Source organism: Homo sapiens, chromosome 12 (genome assembly GCF_000001405.40).
Source record: "Homo sapiens chromosome 12, GRCh38.p14 Primary Assembly".
NCBI lineage: Eukaryota > Metazoa > Chordata > Mammalia > Primates > Hominidae > Homo > Homo sapiens.
Window position 1 is genome coordinate 109,408,827 of NC_000012.12, and position 22,144 is coordinate 109,430,970.

Here is a 22,144-nt window from a genome sequence, read left to right on the forward strand (position 1 = left end):
TCGTTCAGGCTGAAGTGCAGTGGCACAATCTTGGCTCACTGCAGCCTCCACCTCTGGGGTTCAAGCGATTCTTGTGCCTCAAACTCCCAAGTAGTGGGATTACAGGTGCATGCCACCATGCCTGGCTAATTTTTGTAATTTTTTAGTAGAAATGGGGTTTCGCCATGTTGGCCAGGCTGGTCTCAAACTCCTGGCCACAAGTGATCCGCCTGCCTCAGCCTCCCAAAGTGCTGGGATTGCAGGCGTGAGCCACCACGCCTGGCCTGAAATAAATACATCATCTTTAAATACCCACCCTGGCCTGAGGGTACTTGGTCCTCTTACTTGGATAGGCATCTTCTTGTCTGTCTATAGGTCCTTTTCTCCATCTCCTTCTCCTTCTTCTTCTCCTTCTTCTTTTTCTTCTTCTTCTTCTTCTTCTTTTTTTTTTTTTTTTTTTTTTTTTTTTGATTGTACATGGGCTTGGGAGGCTGAGGACACCTGAACAAAGAAGTGAATCAGAAGGGGAAGGTCTGACTACACAGGTGATGGCTATGGAAGCTGCAGTGGGATCTGAGCAGGCAGGAGCAGCAGGCTGGGGAAATTACTTCCACCCAAAGATTTTCCGCATTGTTGGAGACAGAGGACATATGAGCTTTAGCGCCAAGTCCCAGTTTAGGGGAGCAGCAACAGTTTTGAGTAGCACAAAGGAAAAGACCTAACTATGAATGGGGTGTGTTATTTTGACCAGGATTTCACCAGGAAAACTGTAATTGGATTACTGGACATCTATGGGTTTGAAGTCTTTGACAAGAATGGGTATGTTTTGTCATTACCTACCTATCTGTCTTTTGCCCTTTTTTAAGATTTCAGTCGAGATTTAAATCTTTCGCTAATGTTACTAGATTGATTTCCCTGTCCCCAGAAAGTCTCTAGATTTACATAGTTTCTAACTCACAGACCATCCTAGATGTGGACTAACCATAAAAATGCAAATATATTTTCACTTGACTCTTATGATCTATTTAGTAAATTATTTTATTAATGAGGACTTTGCTTTTTCTTTATTAAAAAGTATGCCTAAAAAGAATATAATTTGTTTAAAAAAATTGTTCTCTTCATATAACTTTAGTTACTTAAATCTTTTGTATCTCTAGTTTTGAACAGTTCTGTATAAATTACTGCAATGAGAAACTCCAGCAACTGTTAATTGAGAGGACTCTAAAAGCAGAACAGGCAGAATATGAAATGGAAGGCATAGAGGTAAACATTTTGATGTTTTCTCCTCATCTGATTTCTTCATCTAGCTAAAGACTTCTTTTTTTAATTTAATTAATTTTTTTTTTATTTTTTTGAGACAAGATCTCACTCTGTCGCCCAGGCTGGAGTCCAGTGGCACAATCATGACTGGTTGCAACCTCCACCTCCTGGGCTCGAGTGATCCTCCTGCCTCAGCCTCCTAAGTAGCTGGGATCACAGGCACATGCCACCATGCCTGGCTAATTGTTTTACTTTTTGTAGAGACAGGGTCTCTCTATGTTGCCCAGGCTGGTCTCGAACTCCTGGACTCAAGTGATCTTCCTGCCTCAACCTCCCAAAGTACTGGGATTACAGGTGTGAGCCACTGTGCCCAACCACTAAAGACATTTAACTGAAGTATTATTTCATTGGAGATATTCCTGATTAGTACTGAGGATTAATTTTTAGGCCTTCTCTGCTTATTTCCTGGGAAATTATTTTGATATTCAGAAAATATAATTTGTTTAAGGTTGAATATAAAAACTAGATTTTGAAAAAAGATGTTTTAGAAAACCAATTTAAAACCAACTTTGATGCTCATCTAAATATTTCTTGGAGAATTCATTCCTCTTTGTCATTTTAGTGGGAGCCAATTAAATATTTCAACAACAAGATCATCTGTGATTTGGTAGAAGAGAGACATAAAGGAATCATATCTATTCTGGTGAGAAAAATGAATGTTGCATTAGAGCTATTCACCCGGCACTTACAACTCTTGGAAGAACTTTTTCCCAGGCTTAAAAAGGGTTGAGCCAGGCCAGGCACGGTGGCTCACGCCTGTAATTCCAACACTTTGGGAGGCCGAGGTGGGTGGATCACCTGAGGTCAGGAGTTAGAAAGCAGCCTGAACAGTATGGTGTAACCCTGTCTCTACTAAAAATACAAAAATTAGCCGGGCATGATGGCATGCGCCTGTAGTCCCAGCTACTTGGGAGGCTGAAACAGGAGAATTGCTTGAACCCCGGAGGCAGAGGTTGCAGTGAGCTGAGATCATACCACTGCGCTCCAGCCTGGGCGACAGAGGGAGACTCCATCTCAAAAAATAAAAATAAAAATAAAAAAAGGGTTGAGCCAGGGTGGTCTCTAACTCCTGGGCTCAAGCAGTCCTCCCACATCAGCCTCCTGAGTAGCTGGGACTACAAAGGTATACCACCACACCTGGCTAAATTTTAAAAATTTTGTAGAGACAGGGTTTCACCATGTGCCTGTGCTGGTCTTGAACTCCTGGGCTCAAGACATCCTCCCACCTTGGCCTGCCAAATGCCAGGATTATAGGTGTGAACCACTTCACCCAACCACACCTGTAATTTTTAAGATGCCAACTAAATGGTATCATTCTTGAGGACGAAAAATAGGAAATAGAAAAATGAACTTAAGAAATATAAAAACTTCGACTTAACTGGTTTTATACCTTTCTTTCCATGAGGGCTTTTCTTCTACAACAAGAGTCTGTACACATGGTAATCATGGTCAGTGATGACTGGTTTAGAGAAAACGAGGTTGGTCATAGTAGCTGTGTGGAGTATCCTTGGGAAGACTTTGAGTCAGATGGTCAGAGTGTTGCCTTTTCATGGGATATTCAGGCCCTCTGGTTCCATGGTCCCCTTATCAAATCTTAGAAGCCAAACACATGGATTAAGCCCTTCTTCCCCCCAGAATGTTCACCTGCACTTACATGAATTGACAGTCTTTTAGTCCAGTACTTTCTGTTCCAGCTGGTGAAAGCATTTAAACTTGGCATTGATGGAGTGTGGTGCTGTGGATTGAGGCTTCTCTTTTTCTTTTGAAGGATGAAGAATGCATTCGGCCTGGTCCTGCTACAGACTTGAGTTTCCTGGAGAAATTGGAAGAGAAAGTGGGCAAACATGCACACTTCGAAACGTACATACTTTATTTTACCAGATTTTGCATGGGGGAAGATGATTGTGTCTCCATTTTCTTTAGTATTTGGATAATGTTCTTCAAGAGAACAACTACTTCATACATAAAAATATCTTTATGTATACCACTCATAGATGTGCCAGACCTTTGTTAGTAGAAATTAAACCTAAATGAATTATAATTTTTTTTTGAGACATGGTCTCAGTCTGTCACCTAGGCTGGAGTGCAGTGACGTGATCACAGCTCACTGCAGCCTCAACCTCCCAGGCTCAAGTGATCCTCCAACCTCAGCCTCCCAAGAAGCCAGGACTACAAACATACACCACAATGCCTGGCTAATTTTTATATTTTTTGTAAAGACAGGGTTTCACCCTGTTGCCCAGGCTGGTCTGGAACTCCTGGCTTCAAGCGATCCACCCATCTTGGCCTCCCAAAGTGCTGGGATTACTGCTGTGAGCCATCGTGCCCAGACACAAGTATGATTTTTTAAAAAGATTTTATATCTTCCTTTATTCAGTGATCATTATATTTTGGACATGTCTATGTACATGAAATAATCTTTTCAAAAATTCAGGTATAAAATACAGTGATATGTGTAGATCTGAAATGTACAACCTGATAAATTTTTGTACTTGTATGTGCCTGTGTAACCACCATGCGGATCAGATATAGAGTACCACATCCCACAAGATCAACTAGACATTTAACTTAGTCTTTGAGGTAAGCAGGAGAGAATTTAAGAGCATATGCTGGAGTCATTAAGACCTGGTTTGTTTGCTTGTTTCTTTTTTGTTTTTTGGTTTTGTTTTGTTTTGTTTGAGATGGAGTCTCACTCTGTTGCCCAGGCTGGAGTGCAGTTGTGCAATCTCTGCTCACTACAACCTCCGCCTCCTGGGTTTAAACGATTCTCCTGCCTCAGCCTCCCAAGTAGCTGGGATTACAAGCACTTGCCACTACGCCCGGCTAATTTGTTGTTGTTGTTGTTGTTGTTGTTGTTATTATTATTATTTGAGACAGAGTCTTGCTCTGTTGCCCAGGCTGAGTGTAGTAGGGCGATCTCGGCTCACTGCAACCTCCACCTCCCGGGTTCAAGTGATTCTGCTTCAGCCTCACAAGTAGCTGGGACTACAGGTGTGCGCCATCACGCCTGGCTATTTTTTTGTATTTTTAGTAGAGGTGGGCTTTCACCATGTTAGCCAGGCTGGTCTCGAACTCCTGACCTCAAGTGATCTGCCCACCTCAGTGTCCCAAAGTGCTGGGATTACAGAAATGAGCCACCATGCCTGGCCCCAAGACCAAATGAATGCTCCTGCATTTGTGTTTTCCCTGCTATACAAGATGGGGGTTATTAACATACCTACCATCCAATTTTGTAAATGATGCCATAAATTGCCTAGTGCAATCTCTGGCCATGGTAAAGACTTAGTAAATGGTGGTGGCTTTCTCAGACCTGTTGTAGAATACTGAAAGGATATAAGTAAATGAAATTGCAAAGGATAAGTACATGAAATTGCATAGTGAATCAAGAATGGAAAAATAAATTGGGGTACATTCACAAATGGAATAATATATCACTGTGCAATGAATAATCTATAACTGCATGCAATGATGTAAGTAAATTACACAAATGAGTACATACTGTGGCCGAGCGTGCTGGTTCATGCCTATAATCCCAGCACTTTGAGAGGCCGAGGCAGCTGGATCACCTGAGGTCAAGAGTTCAAGACCAGCCTGACCAACATGGTGAAACCCTGTCTCTACTAAAAATACAAAAATTAGCCAGGCATGGTGGTACACGCCTGTAGTTCCAGCTACTCAGGAGGCTGAGGCAGGAGAATCGCTTGAACCTGGGAGGTAGAGGTTGCAGTGAGCCGAGATTGCGCCACTGCACTCCAGCCTGGGCAACAGAGCAAGACTCCATCTCAAAGAGAAAAAAAAGGACTACATTCTATATAATTCCATTGCAATGCAATGCATACAACTGGGTAAAAATTCACTTATGCTGCTACATGTCTGGTTGCGACTAGAAAGGGCTCAAAGTGGGGGTTCTCAGGGACTGGTAATGAATGCTCTGCTTCTTAATCTGGGTGCTGGTTGCACAGGCATATCGTTTTCAAAAATTCATTGAGCCGTACGCTTAGAATATATGTGTGCTGTCAATATGTATGACAGATTTAAGTAAAAGTCATTTTAAAAAATCAAGAATCTGGCCAGACACAGTGGCTCACACCTGTAATCCCAGCTGTTTGCGAGACCAAGACGAGTGGATAATCTGAGGTCAGGAGTTCAAGACCAGCCTGGCCAACATGGTGAAACCCCATCTCCACTAAAAATCCAAAAAATTAGCCAGGTGTGGTGGCTTACGCCTGTAATCCCAGCTACTCAGGAGGCTGAGGCAGGAGAATCGTCTGAACTCAGGAGGTGGAGGTTGCAGTAAGCCGAGATCACACCACTGCACTCCCGCCTGGGAGACAGAGTGAGACTCCATCTCAAAAAAAAAAAAAAAAAGAAAGAAAAAAAAAATCAAGAATCTGTAGAAACTGAAAACTGATGTTTTATGAGTATTTTAGTCTCTCAACATTATAAAAATATAAGATTTAAAATTGTTCTTTGTTACATCACCTAGAAAAACAAAAGTTAATTTATTATGCAAATACATGTGTTTCTGTGGCTCAGTTCTATACTTTTATTTCTCAGCATTTATGGGAAGAAAGGATCTAATTTTATTTTTTTATTTTTTGAGACAAGGTCTCACTCTGTTGCACAGGCTGGAGTCTAGTGGTATAATTATAGCTCACTGCAGCCTCAAATTCCTGGGCTCAAGCAATCCTCCCACCTCGGCCTCCTGAGTAGCTGGGACTACAAGGCACATGCTACCACTCCCAGCTAATTCTTTGTATTTTTTTTTTAAAGACAGGGTCTTGCTGTGTTGCCCAGACTAATCTCAAACTCCTGGCCTTAAACGATCCTCCTGCCTCAGCCTCCCAAAGTACTAGGATTATAGGTGTGAGCCACCATGCCCGGCCAAAGGATCTAATTTTAAAGAAATCTTGGTCTATGGCCAGAAAATAAGTAACAAAACTTCCTGGGAGCCTCCCTGTGTGGTGGCTTTCAATGTGGACCTAACTGATTGAAGACGTCTCTCTCTCACTCTTTGCTTCAGTTATTGGTGCCATTTTGTCTCAGTGAAGTAGAAAGTTCAACTCATGGGCCAGGCACGGTGGCTTAGGCCTGTAATCCCAGCACTTTGGTAGGCTGAGGCAGGCAGATCACGAGGTCAGGAGTTCGAGACCAGCCTGACCAACATGGTGAAACTCCATCTCTACTAAAAATACAAAAATTAGCCGGGTGTGGTGGCACCTGCCTGTAATCTCAGCTACTCCAGAGGCTGAGGCAGGAGAATCGCTTAAACCCAGGGGGTCGGAGGTTGCCGTGAGCCAAGATTGTGCCACTGCACTCCAGCTTGGGCAACAGAGCAAGACGCCATCTCAAAAAAGAAAAGAAAAGAAAGTTCAACTCGTGTCTATTTCTGTCTCGTAGCCGTAAGCTGGCTGGTCCAAAGGGCCGAAAGAGGATTGGCTGGATGGAGTTCCGACTCCTCCACTATGCAGGAGAGGTCACATACTGCACCAAGGGTGAGTGGCCGTGGGGTACAGGTGACAGCCATGTATGTGCCCAGCCTGGTGTCTTACAATAAGCTCCGAGTCCATGCAGGAAATGGTGCACAGCCATCCCAAACGTTCCCTAACCTCGCGTTCAAGCCATTTGAAAAAGTCTTTCTAATTGTATTTATTATTTTTGTAAATAACCACTTTATTGAGATGCAATTCACATATCATCCATTTACCCCATTTTAAAATGTACAATTCAGCAGTTTTTAGTATTAATATATTCAGAGTTGTGAAAACATTACCACCATTCATTTTATTTTATTTTATTTTATTTTATTTTATTTTATTTTATTTTATTTATTTTGAGAGAGAGTCTCGCTGTGTTGCCCAGGCTGGAGTGCAGTGGCTCAATCTCAGCTCACTGCAACCTCCGCCTCCCAGGTTCAAGCCATTCTCCTGCCTCAGCCTCCCAAGTAACTGGGATTACAGGTGCCCACCACCACGACCAGCTAATTTTTTTGTTTGTTTGTTTTTGCCATGTTGGCCAGGCTGGTCTGGAACTCCTGAGGCCCACCTCAGCCTCCCAAAGTGCTGGGATTACAGGTGTGAGCCACCATGCCTGGCTACCACCATTCATTTTAGAACATTTTATCACCCCCAAAAGAAATCCTGTACCCATTAGCAGGCACTCTCTGTTTCCCTCTAACCCCACCCCTTCCCCTGTAGCTCAAGGCAACTAGCTGATCTACCTTCCCTCTCTATAGATTTGACTGTTGTTGTTGGTTTTTTTTTTTTTGACATTTTTTATAACTGGAATCATGCAATGTGTGACCTTTTGTGTCTGGTTTCTTTCACTTAACATAATTTTGTCAGGGTTCATCCATGCTTTCATTCCTTTTTATTGCCAAATAATATCCCATGATGTGGATATGCCACATTTTGTTCATGCATTCATCAATAACTCATGGTAGGCACTTGGGTTGTTTATACCTTCTAACTATTATAAAGCTACCATGAATATGTCGGTATGAGTTTCAGTATGGGCATAAGTTTTCATTTTTCTTATATATATACGTAGGAATGGAATTATTAGATTAGATATGGTAACTCGGCCGGGTGTGATGGCTCACGCCTGTAATCCAGCACTTTGGGAAGCCAAGGGGAGCAGATCACCTGAGGTCAGGAGTTTGAGACCAGCCTGGCCAAGATAGTGAAGCCCCATCTCTACTAAAAATACAAAAATTATGTTAAAAATACAAAATTAGCCGGGCGTGGTGGCACATGCCTGTAATCCCAGCTACTAGGGAGGGTGAGGCAGGAGAATCGCTTGAACCTGGGAGGCAGAGGTTGCGGTGAGTTGAGATCGCGCCATTGCACTCCAGCCTGGGCAACAAGAGTGAAACTCCATCTCAAAAAAAAAAAAAATTAGCCGGTCGTGGTGGTGATCGCCTGTAGTCCCAGCTACTTGGGAGGCCGAGGCAGGAGAATTGCTTGAACCGGGGAGGCAGAGGTTGCAGTGAGCTGAGATTGTGCTGCTGCATTCCAGCCTGGGTGACAGAGCAAGACTTCATCTCAAAATAAAAAATATATATGTTAACTCTATGCTTAACCTTTTGAGGAATTGCCAGGTCATTTTCCAAAGCAGCTGCACCGTTTTACATTTCCACCAGCAGTATATGAGGGGTTCCAATATCTCCACAGCCTCAGCCACACTTGCGTTATATCATTCTATATATCTGTTATGTTCTATATGTGATGTTCTGCTCTGTCTCCCAGGCTGGCGTGCAGTGGCATGATCTCGGCTCACTGCAAGCTCCGCCTCCTGGGTTCACGCCATTCTCCTGCCTCAGCCTCCCAAGTAGCTGGGACTACAGGTGCCCGCCACCACACCTGGATAATTTTTTGCATTTTTAGTAGAGACGGGGTTTCACCGTGTTAGCCAGGGTGGTCTCCATCTACCGACCTCGTGATGCACCCACCTTGGCCTCCCAAAATGCTGGGATTACAGGCGTGAGCCACCATGCCCCGCCTATATGTGGTGTTCTTCCAACCGTATTAGTGGGTGTGAAGTGGTATCTCATTGTGCTTTTGATTTGCATTTCTCTAATGACCTATGATATTAAACATGTTTTCACGTGCTTATTGGCTGTTTCTCTTCCTTGGAGAAATGTCTACGCAGATCTTTTGCCCATGTTTTAAGATTGGGTTTTTTTGTTTTGTTTTGTTTTGTTTTTTTTGAGACGGAGTCTCGCTCTGTCGCCCAGACTGGAGTCCGGTGGCGCGATCTCGGCTCACTGCAAGCTCCGCCTCCCGGATTCATGCCATTCTCCTGCCTCAGCCTCCCGAGTAGCTGGGACTACAGGCGCCCGCCACCACGCCCGGCTAATTTTTTCTATTTTGTAGTAGAGACGGGGTTTCACCGTGTTAGCCAGGATGGTCTCGATCTCCTGACCTCATGATCCACCCACCTCGGCCTCCCAAAGTTCTGGGATTACAGGTGTGAGCCACCGCGCCCGGCCTAAGATTGGGTTGTTTTTCATTATTGAGTTGTAAGAATTGTTTATATATCCTAGATACTAGATCCTGATCAGATATACAATTTGCAAATATTTTCTCCAGTTCTATGAGTTGTCTTTTCATTTTTGTGATGGTGTCCTTTGAAGCACAGAAGTTTTTAGTTTTGATGAAGTCTAATTGTTCTTCATTTTCTTTAGTCACTTTTACTTTTGGTTTGAAATTAGTTTTACTTTTTTTTTTCTTTCTTTCTTTTGAGACAAGGTCTTGCTTCATTACCCAGGCTAAAGTGCAGTGGCGTGATCTTGGCCCACTGCAACCTCTGCCTCCCGGGGTTCAAGCGATTCTCCTGCCTCAGCCTCCCGAGTAGCTGGGATTATAGATGTCCGCCACCACGCCCAACTAATTTTTGTATTTTTAGTAGAGACAGGGTTTTGTTTTGTTTTGTTTTGTTTTTTAGACGGAGTCTCGCCTGTGGCCCAGGCTGGAGTGCAGTGGCAAGATCTCGGCTCACTGCAAGCTCTGCCTCCTGGGTTTGCACCATTCTCCTGCCTCAGCCTCCCTAGTAGCTGGGACTACAGGCACCCCACGCCCGGCTAGTTTTTTGTATTTTTTAGTAGAGACGGGGTTTCACCATGTTGGCCAAGATGGTCTCGATCTCCTGACCTCGTGATCCACCCGCCTCAGCCTCTCAAAGTGCTGGGATTACAGGCGTGAGCCACCGCACCCAGCATTATTTTTACTTTTAAATAAGAGTATATTTCTAAGAATCTTTTAAAAAGTAATTACACATACAGGTATTAGGGTTTTTTTTCTTTGAATGCAAAGTGACAAAAAGAAAAAATTTTTAAAAAGGATGAGTCTCTTTGTGCAGATAATCCGTTTATTTTTGTTTAAAGAATAAAGATAATACACATGTAGAGCTATAAACTGCTGACAGCACAGAAAGGAACAAAAGGAAAACTCAAATGCCTTTTACTCTCAGTGTCTCCTTTGGGGGGACCACAATAATAAACAGTTTCTTGTAACTACTTCCAGGAAAATAGAAATGTTTTCTGCATATACCTATGTGAGGATACACACACACACACACACACACACACACACTCACTCATACTCATTCACTCTACCTTGATCTCACTTTTTTCCATGTGTTGGTGGGGAGTTTTCCATGTGCCGGGTGCTAGGCAGATGTGGTGGGGCGGGGGCATCGTGGATAAGGAAATCTGATTCTCTTACCATCTGCTCTGAGTTTTTCTACTTCTCTGTAGCACCAGGAATTGTGTCATCCTCATATTTGGGTTCTGGGATATTTCTGGTAATAATCTCATGGTATATTATTTGATTTTGGCTTTCTGTGGGGGGAGTGAAGCCAGCTTGCTTCTATGCCACCATTTTTTTTCTTAAACACTTTTGATGCATGCCTTTTTAAAATTTTTATTTAATCATTTTTCTGGAAACAGGGTTTCACTTTGTTGCCTAGACTGGAGTACAGTGCGCAATCGTGGCTCACTGCAGTCTTGACTTCCTGGGCTCAAGCAATCCTCCTACCTCAGCTCCCCAAGTAGCTGGGACTACAGGCATGCACCACCACACGCAGCTAAGTTTTTAAAAATATTTGTGTAGAGACAGGCTAGTCTCAGACTCACTATGTTGCCCAGGCTAGTCTCAAACTCCTAGGCTCGAGCTATCCTCCCACCTCAGCCTTCCAAAGTGCTGGGATCACAGGCATGAGACACCATGCTTGGCTGCTCCCCCAACTTAAAAAAAAAAAAAAAAATCTGGTTTTGCCTTTATAATGCCATTTACTTTCTAATGTAATTATTAACTGATTAAGTTTTAGGTAGACAGATAAGCCAAGTTTTAAACCTGGAAATGACATGTCTGTCTTTGCCTGAAGATGCTGTTGGGTACCACCAGCCATGGTGCTTGAGTTTGTTTTTTCTCAGTCGTGGGGAATTTTCTCATCTATTTAGAGTCCCAGCTGGCTGTCCTTGAAGTTCAGTGCCACTCTGTTTCTGTATATTCAGTGTATTTGTGTTTCTTTGCTATTGGACTAGGGCAAGTGTGCAATACTTAGTGTAAAGACTATGCATATTTATACGACAGCTCATCAGGATTGAGTATAGCATTTGTGCCACGAGTTCAGTTCTGAGGACCTGGTTCTCAATGAGGGACATGTTACCCGCCCCCCGGAGGGATATGTGGCAATGTCTAGCATATTAGTCCATTCTCACATTGCTATAAAGAACTACCTGAGATTGGGTAATTTATAAAGAAAAGAGGTTTAATTAACTCAAAGTTCATCAGGCTGTGCAGGAAGCATGGCTGGGGTGGCCTCAGGAAACATACAATCATGGTGGAAGGTGAAGGGGAAGCAGGCATGTCTAACATGCCCGGAGGAGGAGGAATAGAGTGAAGGGGGAAGTGCTACAAACTTTTAAACAACCAGATCTCCTGAGAACTATCATGAGAACAGCGAGGGGGACATCTGTCCCCATGATCCAATCACCCCCAACCAGGCCCCTCTTCCAACATTGGGGATTGCAATTTGACTTGAGATTTGGGCGAGGGCACAGACCCAAACCATATAATCTAGAAATACATTTGGTTGTCACAACTGGGGACAGTGTTACTGGGATCTAGTGTGAATAGAGGCCAGAGATGCTTCTCAACATCCCACAATGCATGGGACAGCCCCCACCACAAAGAACGACCCAGCCCCAAATACCCATAGTGCCAAGGTTGAGAAACTATGAGCTAATCCTAAGAAATTCTTTTTCAGAATTTCCCTTTGCAATGAGTTGGGATGGAATTGTATTTTTAGGCAGAGACATTGATTCAAAAAATTTTTCTTCAATGTTTTACAGGATTCTTGGAAAAAAACAATGATCTTCTTTACAGACATCTGAAAGAAGTAAGTCTGACACTTAACTGTATGTGTTTCTGATTATTTTGAAATATTACCCATGATAGTGATTTTGGTAGAATTCGCCTTCTGGATTTTTTTTTTTTCCATGCATCGTATTAGAACTCCAGCATGTCATGGCCAGAACAGACATTCAGGATCATCTGTGTGGACACTTCACTCAACAAACCATTCAAATGTGTATGATGCCCCCTGGGCACCAGCTCTGGAGGTCATCAGTGAACAAGATGGAGCTCCGAACAAGATGGAGCTCTTATTCTCGTGGGGCTTACAGTCAGGAGTTGGGGAAGCAGATAATAAATATATACACAAATAAGTTATCCATTAGTGAGAAGTGCTGCAAAGAGAATAAACAAGGAACTGTGATTGAAGGGGACATTTTTAATTTAGGTGATTAGAGAAAACACCCCTTGGAGGTGACTTTGAGCTAAAACCTGAATGAGAATGATTTGGGCCATAGAAGGATCAGAAGTTATTCCAGGTAGAGAGACCAGTATGTGCAAAGGTCCTGTGGTCTGGACGAGGGGCAATGTTAGGAGAGGGGGCTGAGAGCTTAGCAGGGGCAGGTCCACAGGGGAAGTAGAGATTTCATTCTGGTGTTATGAGAATATACTGGGGTGACATGATCTGAGGACGAGGAAGCTGAGACCCAGACAGGTCACAGCTTGCACAAGGCCACATCATGAGGTGGGGGCTGGAGATGGTATTAGCCCCCAGGGCTGCCGACGGAATTCCCAATCTCTTTGCCTTTCCATATATCTCATCAATCTGAGAAGTGTTGCTGCTGCTGCTGCTGTTGTTTTTGAGACAGGGTCTGGCTCTGTCACCCAGGCTGGAGTGCAGTGACGTCATCATTGCCCACTGCAGCCTCAGCCTCCTGGGCTCGAGTGATCCTCCTGCCTCAGTCTGAGTAGCTAGGACTTCAGACACACACCACCACACCCAACTAATTTTTTTGTTTGTTAGAGACAGGATCTTGCTATGACGCCTAGGCTGGTCTCGAACTCCTGGCCTCAAGTGATCCTCCCACCTCACTCTCCCAAAGCTGGGATTGCAGGCATGAGCCACTGCGCCATGCCTAAAACCTTGAGTTTTTAAGGCCCCTATTTTGTATTAAAATAGTTAACTGTTTTGTGCAAAATTAGATTTTATTAGCTTGGTTTATTAAAAGCTTAACCCTAAAGGTAACATTTTTGGAGTGAGCAGGTGAACAGTCACCTCAGGAGTGTTTTTTCTGCCTTCCCAAACTTTCTCTGCCACTTCTGGGACTGCTTGTCTCAACCTTTTTGGACTCAAGGTAGACGAGCAACTCCTGACTTTGGATCCACCAGACAGTCGCTCTCTGGGTCTGAGTCCCAGCCCAGCCCCTTCCCTGCTGGGGACCGTGTGGCAGGTTTCCCGTCAGCAAAGTGGGGCTGCTGCTGTCCGCCTCATGGAGTAGCTGTGGAGAACACTGGAGTGGACGTGTCTGGTTAACAAATGGGCGACAGCGTTTCTCTAACAGCTTCCCCTCTGGGGTCATGGCCGTCAGCTTCACAAACCAATCCACGGAGAGGACATCACATAGGAAAGAAGTCTCCAAATCTCTCCCTTCACCCACCAGGGCTGAAGCTCCCTGAACTTTTTGACTTCAGGACGGAACACTTCTCATTTGTTTCTGTACTATTGGCAGATTACTCTTCCATATCACTGTAGGTTTAGAACTGCAATGGATTAAACAACAACAAAAAAATTCAATTAAAAAAAATGGGGTGCCAGGCACAGTGGCTCATGCCTGTAATCCCAGCACTTTGAAAGTCCGAGGTGGGTGGATCGCTTGAGCCCAGGAGCTTGAACCCAGCCTGGACAACATGGTGAAACCCCATCCTTATCAAAAAAAATTAAATTAAAAAATTAGCTGGGTGTGGTGGCACACCCCTGTGGTTCTAGCTACTTGGGAGGCTGAGGTAGGGGGATTGCTTGAGCCCAGGAGGTGGAGGTTGCAGTGAGCTGTGACCGTGTCATTCATTGCACTCCAGCCTGGATGACAGAGTGAGACCCTGTCTTGAAAAAAACAGAAAAAAAAATTTTTTTGAGATGTGGTAAACATACATAACAAAATTTAGCATTTTAATCATTTTATTTATTTATTATTTTTGAGACAGAGTCTCACTCTGTCACCCAGGCTAGAGTACAGTGGCATGATCTCAACTCACTGCAACCTCTGCTTCTGGGGTTCAAGCAATTCTCCTGCCTCAGCCTCCCGAGTAGCTGGGATTACAGGCATATGCCACCACACCAGGCTAATTTTTTTTGTATTTTTAGTAGAGACGGTGTTTCACCTTGTTGGTCAGTCTGGTCTTGAACTCCTGGCCTCAGGTGATCCACCCGCCTTGGTCTCCCAATGTGCTGGGATTACAGGCGTGAGCGACCACGCTCGGCCACATTTTAATCATTTTAAAGTGTACAGTTCAATAGTGTTGAGTAGATTTACATGGTTGCGCAGTTGATCTCCTGAACTCTTTTCATCTTGCAGAACTGAAACTCAGTATCCACTAAACAACTGCTCTCCGTTCCCCCTCCCAGCAGCCACTGGAAATACTGTCTACTTTCTACCTCTATGAACTTCAGTCCTCTAGGGACCTTATATGAGTGGAATCAGACAGTGTTTTTCTTTTTGCAACTGGCTTATTTCACTTAGCTTATTCCACTTAGCATAGTGAGCATAATACTTATTTCACTTAGCGTGGGTTTATTCGTGTTGTGGAATATGTCAGAATCATGCTTTTGAAGGTGGAATAATATTCCATGTTACCTATGTAGGGAAAATATTTTTCTGGTAAAGAATTAAATATTTTAAAAAATTAAGGACTTTTGGTGATATAGATTATTTAAAAAATACACGCACAGGGGCGAAAGTCAAACAGTCCAAAAGCTAGTGCCCTGGGTCCCATGTCAGCAAGTCTCTCGCCCGAGAGTCAACTGCTCTCACCTTTGTATTGTGCGTCCTTCCAGGGACCACACAGGATGTGCGTATGTGTATCTCTTTCTTTCTTTTTATTTCTCTTTGCACAATAATAGCACACTGTATGTGTGGTTTTGCGTCTTGCTTTTTTCACTTAACACCATTATCTTGGAGATCATTCTTTTTTTTCTTTTTGAGACAGGTTCTCAGTCTGTCACTCAGGCTGGAGTGCAGTGGCGCAATCAGAGTTCACTGCAGCCTCGACTTCGTGGGCTCAAGTGATCCTCCTACCTCAGCCTCCTGAGTAACTGGGACCATAGGTGCACACCACCACACCTGGCTAACTTCTTTGTAAAGATGAGGTTTTGCCATGTTGCCCAGGCTGGTCTCAAACTCCTGGGCTCAAGCCATCTTCCTGCCTTGGCCTCCCCAAGTACTGGGATTACAAGCCTGAGCCCCACCATTCCTGGCCTGGGATCATTTCTTAAACAGCCAGTTTATTCTGAAGCAGCTGCACTGAACCAGGGACAATGTCGGAGAAAAAACGTCTGGCTTCAGCAAGCAGAGAAAGCAGTGGATGTAGAATGTGAACATGGCCTTCCATATTTAACTGTGTTGTTCCCCTTTCTTTACATTAGGAACATCTTCAAGCATTCAAGAAGCAGATGGCTCTGTTGCTTCATGCACACTCTGTGAGCCGTCCTGACAGCCCTGTAGTGATTTCTGAAACAGCGAACGTGGTACTCATTTCTCTTCACTTACAGGTGCTGTGCAAGTCCAAGAACATTATCCTGAGGGAATGCTTCCTGCTGGCCGAGTTAGAAAACCGGAGGAGGCCCCCAACAGTGAGTGGGAAAAACACCCATGCAAAATTGGATCTCACCAGAGGGTGAGATGACCACCAACTACCTACGCTTTTTAAGCCACCTTCCCCTTTTCTGGAAGTATTACTCTCTAACAGATTCTACTAAATATATGCACCTGTAATCTCACACCTGTAATCCCAGCACTTTGGGAGCCTCACATCTGTAATCCCAGCACTTTGGGAGGCCCAGGTGGGAGAATCACTTGAGGCCAGGAGTTCAAGACCAGACTGGGTAACATAATGAGACCCTGTCTCTACAAAAATAAAAATAAAAACAAATCAGTCAGACAAAACTTGGGTGCATTAAAAACATAAAAGAAAGAAAGAAAAAATCAATTAGCCAGGTGCAGTGGTGTGCATCCATAGTCCCAGCTACTTTCGGAGGCTGAGGCAGGAGGATCCTTGAACCCAGGAGTTTGAAGTTACAATGAGCCATGATTATGCCACTGCACTCCAGACTAGGTGACAGAGCAAGACCCTGTCTCTTAAAAAATCACTTGGAACGTGGCTTATGATATATACATTAACTTAGAATGTGATATTCATGTTCCAAGTTTAGTCCCAGTTTGTTCATTTGCAGGCATTCATTGAGCAGCACCTACTATGTATATGTGGCAGGCACTGTGCCAGGCACAGGGATTCAGCAATAACAAGCCAGATGAGGTCCCTGCCCTCAAGGGACTTACAATCTAGTGGGAGAGAGTATAAGAAAATACCATCAAATAAAGAAGTTATAATAATACCAGCATCATGAAGGACACGTGTCAACAAAGAAACACAAAGGAAGGTGGAAGAGAATGACAGGCCTGGGGCAGAACTGGTTCCTGCTGGGCACTCACCACGTCTTTGCTGAGCAAGTGAGGCATCCTAGACAGATGCTTGTCCAGCTTCCACGTGACCAGACCAAGACTGGCCTTCTCAGGTCAGGACATCCAAAGCCACCTCTTAATGGGCCAGATGGCCACTAGGAAGACAATCTGTCAATAGTTCAGCTCTATAGGGCTGACACCTTGAGCCCTGGCCAGTCTTTTTGTATTCGTTGGAAGCAGCAGTATCTCTCTGGCTCGTTCTCTCTCTCTTTCTCTCTCTCTCTGCAGGTGGGGACTCAGTTTAAAAACAGTCTGAGCAGCCTTCTAGAAACCCTCATCTCTAAGGAGCCCTCCTACATCCGTTGCATCAAGCCCAACGACAGGAAAGAACCCAGTGAGTTGTGGATCATTATGAACTGGGCTCAGGGAAAGGAGGCTGGGAGCCAAAGCAAGGTGGCAGTGGGTTGGGATCCTAAACACCACCACAAGCTTGCTCGATGTCCTCTGGATGTGAATCATTTTCCTTTCTAAATGATAGAAGTTGGCCAGATGTTACAGGCTTATGCCTGTAATCCCAGCCCTTTGGGAGGTTGAGGCAGGCGGATCACTTGAACCCAGGAATTGGAAACCAGTTTGGGCAACATGGCAAAACCCCGTCTCTACAAAAAATGCGAAAATTAGCCAGGCATGGTGGCGTGTCTCTACTAAACATACAAACACTAGCTGGGTGTGGTGGAACATGTCTGTAGTCCCATCTACTTGGGAGGCTGAGGTGGGAGGATCAATTGATCCCAGGAGTTCAAGGCTGCAGTGAGCCATGACTGTGCCACTGCACTCCAGTATGGGTGACAGAGTGAGACCCTATCTCAAAAAATAATAATAATAGAAGGTAAATGAATGCCTTTGGTGGTTCAGAGTGAGCATTTCTCAGAGGTTGTTCAGTTTCAGGAGCAACACAGCTGAGTCAGGCAGGTGTCAGAGGCGAAGGGAGTCAACGTCACTCTTTTCTAGCCAAGGAACAGTCTTCGAAAATGATCTATGACTTGGGTAGTTTCTAAGCTCTTGCCATGGTCTATAATATAGTTGTTAGGAACCATTATAATGAACTATAATGGACCATCAGAGGCTCACAGAGGCTAGGCAGGAAAAGCAAATGAGTGAAGCAGACAGGTTGAAAGGCAATAGGCAGTGGGGAGGACTGTGGCAAACTGGAGAAGGCACATTCTGTCTAAAGGGGCAACAGCGCTACTCCTCTCCTGCCAGCTGTTGCCATGTGGGACTCTGGCCTCAGGATAGCCAGATCTCAGGACTTTTCAGAGGAACCAGAAATTTAATTTTTTCCTATAAAATTCCCCCATTTAAAAAGCACAATTGGGCTGGGCATATGGTGGCTCATGCCTGTAATCCCAGCATTTTGGGAGGCCGAGGCGGGTGGATCACCTAAGGTCAAGAGTTCGAGACCAGCCTGGCCAACACGGTGAAACCACGTCTCTACTAAAAATACAAAAATTAGCCAGGCATGGTGGTGTGCACCTGTAATCCCCACTACTTGGGAGGCTGAGGCAGGAGAATCACTTGAACCCAGGAGGCAGAGGTTGCAGTGAGCCGAGATTGTGCCACTGCACTCCAGCCTGGGCAAAAAGAATGAAACCCCATCTCAAAAAAAAAAAAAAAAAAAAATTAAGACCTCACGAAATGAGTCTGGGGCCAGACCCAGCCCACTGAACTTCAGCTTGCAGCCTGTGATCTGCCTTGGTTGATATGAAGCCATGGGATCCTTTCCTGTCATTCTCTGTTCTATTTCTCCAAAGGCAAATTTGATGACTTCCTCATAAGGCATCAGATCAAATACCTGGGGCTGATGGAGCACCTGCGGGTGAGACGGGCTGGTTTTGCATACCGAAGGAAATACGAGCATTTCTTGCAAAGGTAAAATGTGCTTTATTGATCTGAAGCCAATAGTCATGTGCCTACTACATGAGAATCTCTGGGGTTTAGTGGTAAATAAAATGGCATCCCTTAGGAAGGCTCAGTTTGGTTGTTAACTGCTGTAGTTATGACAGCTAAAAACACTAACATTTGGGAGAACATAAAAACCCAACTCTGGCTGGGTGCGGTGGCTCATGCCTGTAATCCCAGCATTTTGGGAGGCCGAGGTGGGAGGATTGCTTGAGGCCAGGAGTTCGAGACCGTCCTGGGCAACATGGCAAAACCCAATCTCTACAAAAAAAAAAAAAAAAAAAAAAAAAAAAATATATATATATATATATATATATATATTAGATGGGTGTGGTGGTACACACCTGTAGTCCCAGCTACTCAGAAGGCTGAGGTGGGAGGATCACCTGAGCCTGGGAGGTTGAGGCTGCGGTGAACTTGAGATCGTACCACTGCACTCCAGCCTGGGTGACAGAATGAGAACCATCTCAAAAACAAAACAAAACAACAAAAAAAAAAACTCACAAAAATTCAGTTTACCATCTTCTGTTCATTTCACTAATCCCTGACTGTTTACAGTCAAGGGCAAGGCCAAGTGCGTAGATCTGCCACCAGGGGGCAGCCGTGGGCAGTGCCCCACAGGCCTCTGAATTAGCAGGAGAAGCTAAGTCCATTTGTGACCGTAGGGCCTGGTTTAGTGCCTTAGCGCAACGGGCTGTCAAGAGCAGCAGGTTAGCGGTGGGGACATGGGTTTTCAAACCACATGAACTTGGATCATAATCCTCATTCTCTTATAGCTGTGACCTGTCATTTCCCTTATCTGTAGGATTAAATTGTCTGGGATCAGGGAGTTTGTAAAGATTTAATGAACTATTTCTACGCCTACTCTCACCATCCCCCAAATTGCTTATACACCAACACTTCTTCAATGATGGGCTGTGTGTGAATTTATGCTACCAAAATAGCAACACACTCTCAAGCATAATAAATGGTCACTTTGTTGGGTCAGAATGGTTGAATAGCAGAAATTTCATGTGGTTCAACCAATATTTTGAGTGTAGTCATTTGAGACTCTTTGCCTTTATTTTTCCTGGATGTACCTCCTTTGCCCACCATTTTTGCCCATCCGCTACTTATTCATTCATCTTCATCCCAAATCTGACTTCTGCGGCAGATGGCAGGGCAACAGCCACTGCCCACCTCACCCCCCTCCAAACATATACACACTTGATGTTCCCATCTACCTGTGTTTTTTTGAACTTCATACATCTCTTGTCTATTTTTGCTGCTTTCTGAGGCTCATTCATTCTTTCCATAAAATCTAGTGAGCAGGCCGGGCATGTTGCCTCACACCTGTAATTCCAGCACTTGGGGAGGCCAAGGTGGGCAGATCACTTGAGGTCAGAAGTTCAAGACCAGCCTGACCAACATGGTGAAATCCTGTCTGCTAAAAACACAAAAATCAGCCAGGCATAGTGGCGCATGCCTGTAATTCCAGCTACTCAGGAGGCTGAAGCATGAGAATCATTTGAACCCGGGAGGCAGAGGTTGCAGTGAGCTGAAATCACACCACTGCACTCCAGCCTGGGTGATAGAATGAGACTCTGTATCAAAACAAACAAAAACTGGTGAGCAGCTATCTGAGCTAGCACTGTCCTAGGTGCTGGGGTGATGTCAGAGAACAGAACAGACCCCATCCCTGTCCTCATGGAATTTACTTTCTATGGGGGAGACCAACAATAACAAAGACGTAAAGTTGGCCCTCCACACCCGCGGGTTCCACATCTGAGGATTCACCCAACTATGGATTCAAAATGCTTTTAAAAATACAATAAAAATAACAATACAACAATAATAATACAAATTAAAAAGCAATATAGTCTAATATCTATTTATGTAGTATTTACATAGTATTAGGTATAATAAGTAATTTAGAGATGATTTAAAGTGTACAGGAAGATGTACTCAGGTTATATGCAAACACTATGCCATTTTTTATTAGAGACTTGAACATCCGTGGATTTTGTATCCATGGGGGTCCTGGAACCAATTCCCCACATACGATGAGGGGTGACTGCATAAGGCCAGGCAGGGATATGTTATTTGAAGAAAAGTGAATCCAGGTAAGGGGAAAGAGTGGCCAGGCTCCCTCCTTAGGTAAGGGGGTCACTCTCTGAGTGAGGAAGTGAGCCATGAGGACATTTGGTGTCTTAGTCTGTTTGGGCTGCTGTAACGAAACACTACACTGGGTGGCTTCTAACCAACAGAAACTTTTCACAGTTCTGGAGGATGGGAAGTCCAAGATCAAGGCACTGGCAGACTCAGTGTCTGGTGAGGGCCAGCTTCCTTGTTTGTAGATGGTGCCTTCTCGCTGTGTCTTCACATAGTTGATGATGTAGTCATAAGGGCACTAATCTCATTTATGAGTGCTCCACCCTTGTGACCTGATCACCTGTCAGAGGCCCTGCCTCCTAACACCATCACATTGGGAGTTAGATTTCATCATATGAATTTTGTGGGGACACAGACGATCAGTCCATAGCATTCAGGGAACATCAATCAAGGCAGGAAAGCCTGGAGGTGGGAGCAGGCTCTAGGGCAAGCTGAGAGGCCAGCGTGGCAGCTGGTCAGTGGCTGGGGACAGAGGCAAGGGGAGATTCACGGGATCGAGCTGGAGATAGCCAAACCCCGTGCACCTGCCTGGCACCACTTCCCTTGATCAGGGAGCAACCATATCATAGAGTTGAAGACATAAGGTACTAGTCCCTCCAACCTGCAGGCATTTAGGGCCTCTCCCCAGCCCCTCCATATCTGTCTAGCTTTGGCGGTGCATGCTGGTATTGCGCAAGGTCTGCATGGATGAAAGCAGGGCCTGAGGCTGTGCTGTGTCCCCTGGGGGTGGTGGAGACCCTATCTTCTCCAGCTTTCACTGGAGTTCAGGAAGCACACATCCTGCACCTTTGTGTAGGTGGCTGAACAGAGGAAGAACATGGGACACTCGATACCCTTAAAGAACATGCTCATAAATTCCAGGAAAATAAAAATATTTTTCACTGGACATGGTAGCTCATGCCTGTAATCCCAGCACTTTGGGAGGCCGAAAAGTGATCACCTGAGGTGAGGAGCTTGAAACCAGCCTGGCCAACGTGGAGAAACCCTGTCTCTACTAAAAATACAAAAATTAGCTGGGCGTGGTGGCACATGCCTATAATCCCAGCTACACAGGAGGCTGAAGCAGGAGAATCGCTTGAACCCAGGAGGCAGAGGTTGCAGTGAGCTGATATCGCACCACTGCACTCCAGTCTGGGTGACAGAGTGAGCTCTGTATCAAAAATATATATACATGTATTTTTTTTAACAGTTTAAAATCGGATT

The 22,144-nt window shown here is 44.6% G+C and overlaps 1 protein-coding gene across 3 annotated transcripts in view; it reads left to right on the plus strand.

Annotated features, from left to right (window-relative positions):
- Window positions 1–22,144, plus strand: part of MYO1H (myosin IH) — a 137,912-nt gene that overhangs the window by 98,359 nt on the left and 17,409 nt on the right. For all 3 annotated transcript variants that reach the window (XM_011538223.3, NM_001101421.4, XM_047428738.1), the window contains 9 exons: window positions 731–798; window positions 1,137–1,242; window positions 1,862–1,942; window positions 3,068–3,159; window positions 6,700–6,794; window positions 12,155–12,201; window positions 15,922–16,002; window positions 17,120–17,225; window positions 18,643–18,760. In XM_011538223.3, coding sequence (XP_011536525.1) covers window positions 731–798; window positions 1,137–1,242; window positions 1,862–1,942; window positions 3,068–3,159; window positions 6,700–6,794; window positions 12,155–12,201; window positions 15,922–16,002; window positions 17,120–17,225; window positions 18,643–18,760 — 794 coding nt within the window. The remainder of the gene's footprint in view (window positions 1–730; window positions 799–1,136; window positions 1,243–1,861; window positions 1,943–3,067; window positions 3,160–6,699; window positions 6,795–12,154; window positions 12,202–15,921; window positions 16,003–17,119; window positions 17,226–18,642; window positions 18,761–22,144) is intronic.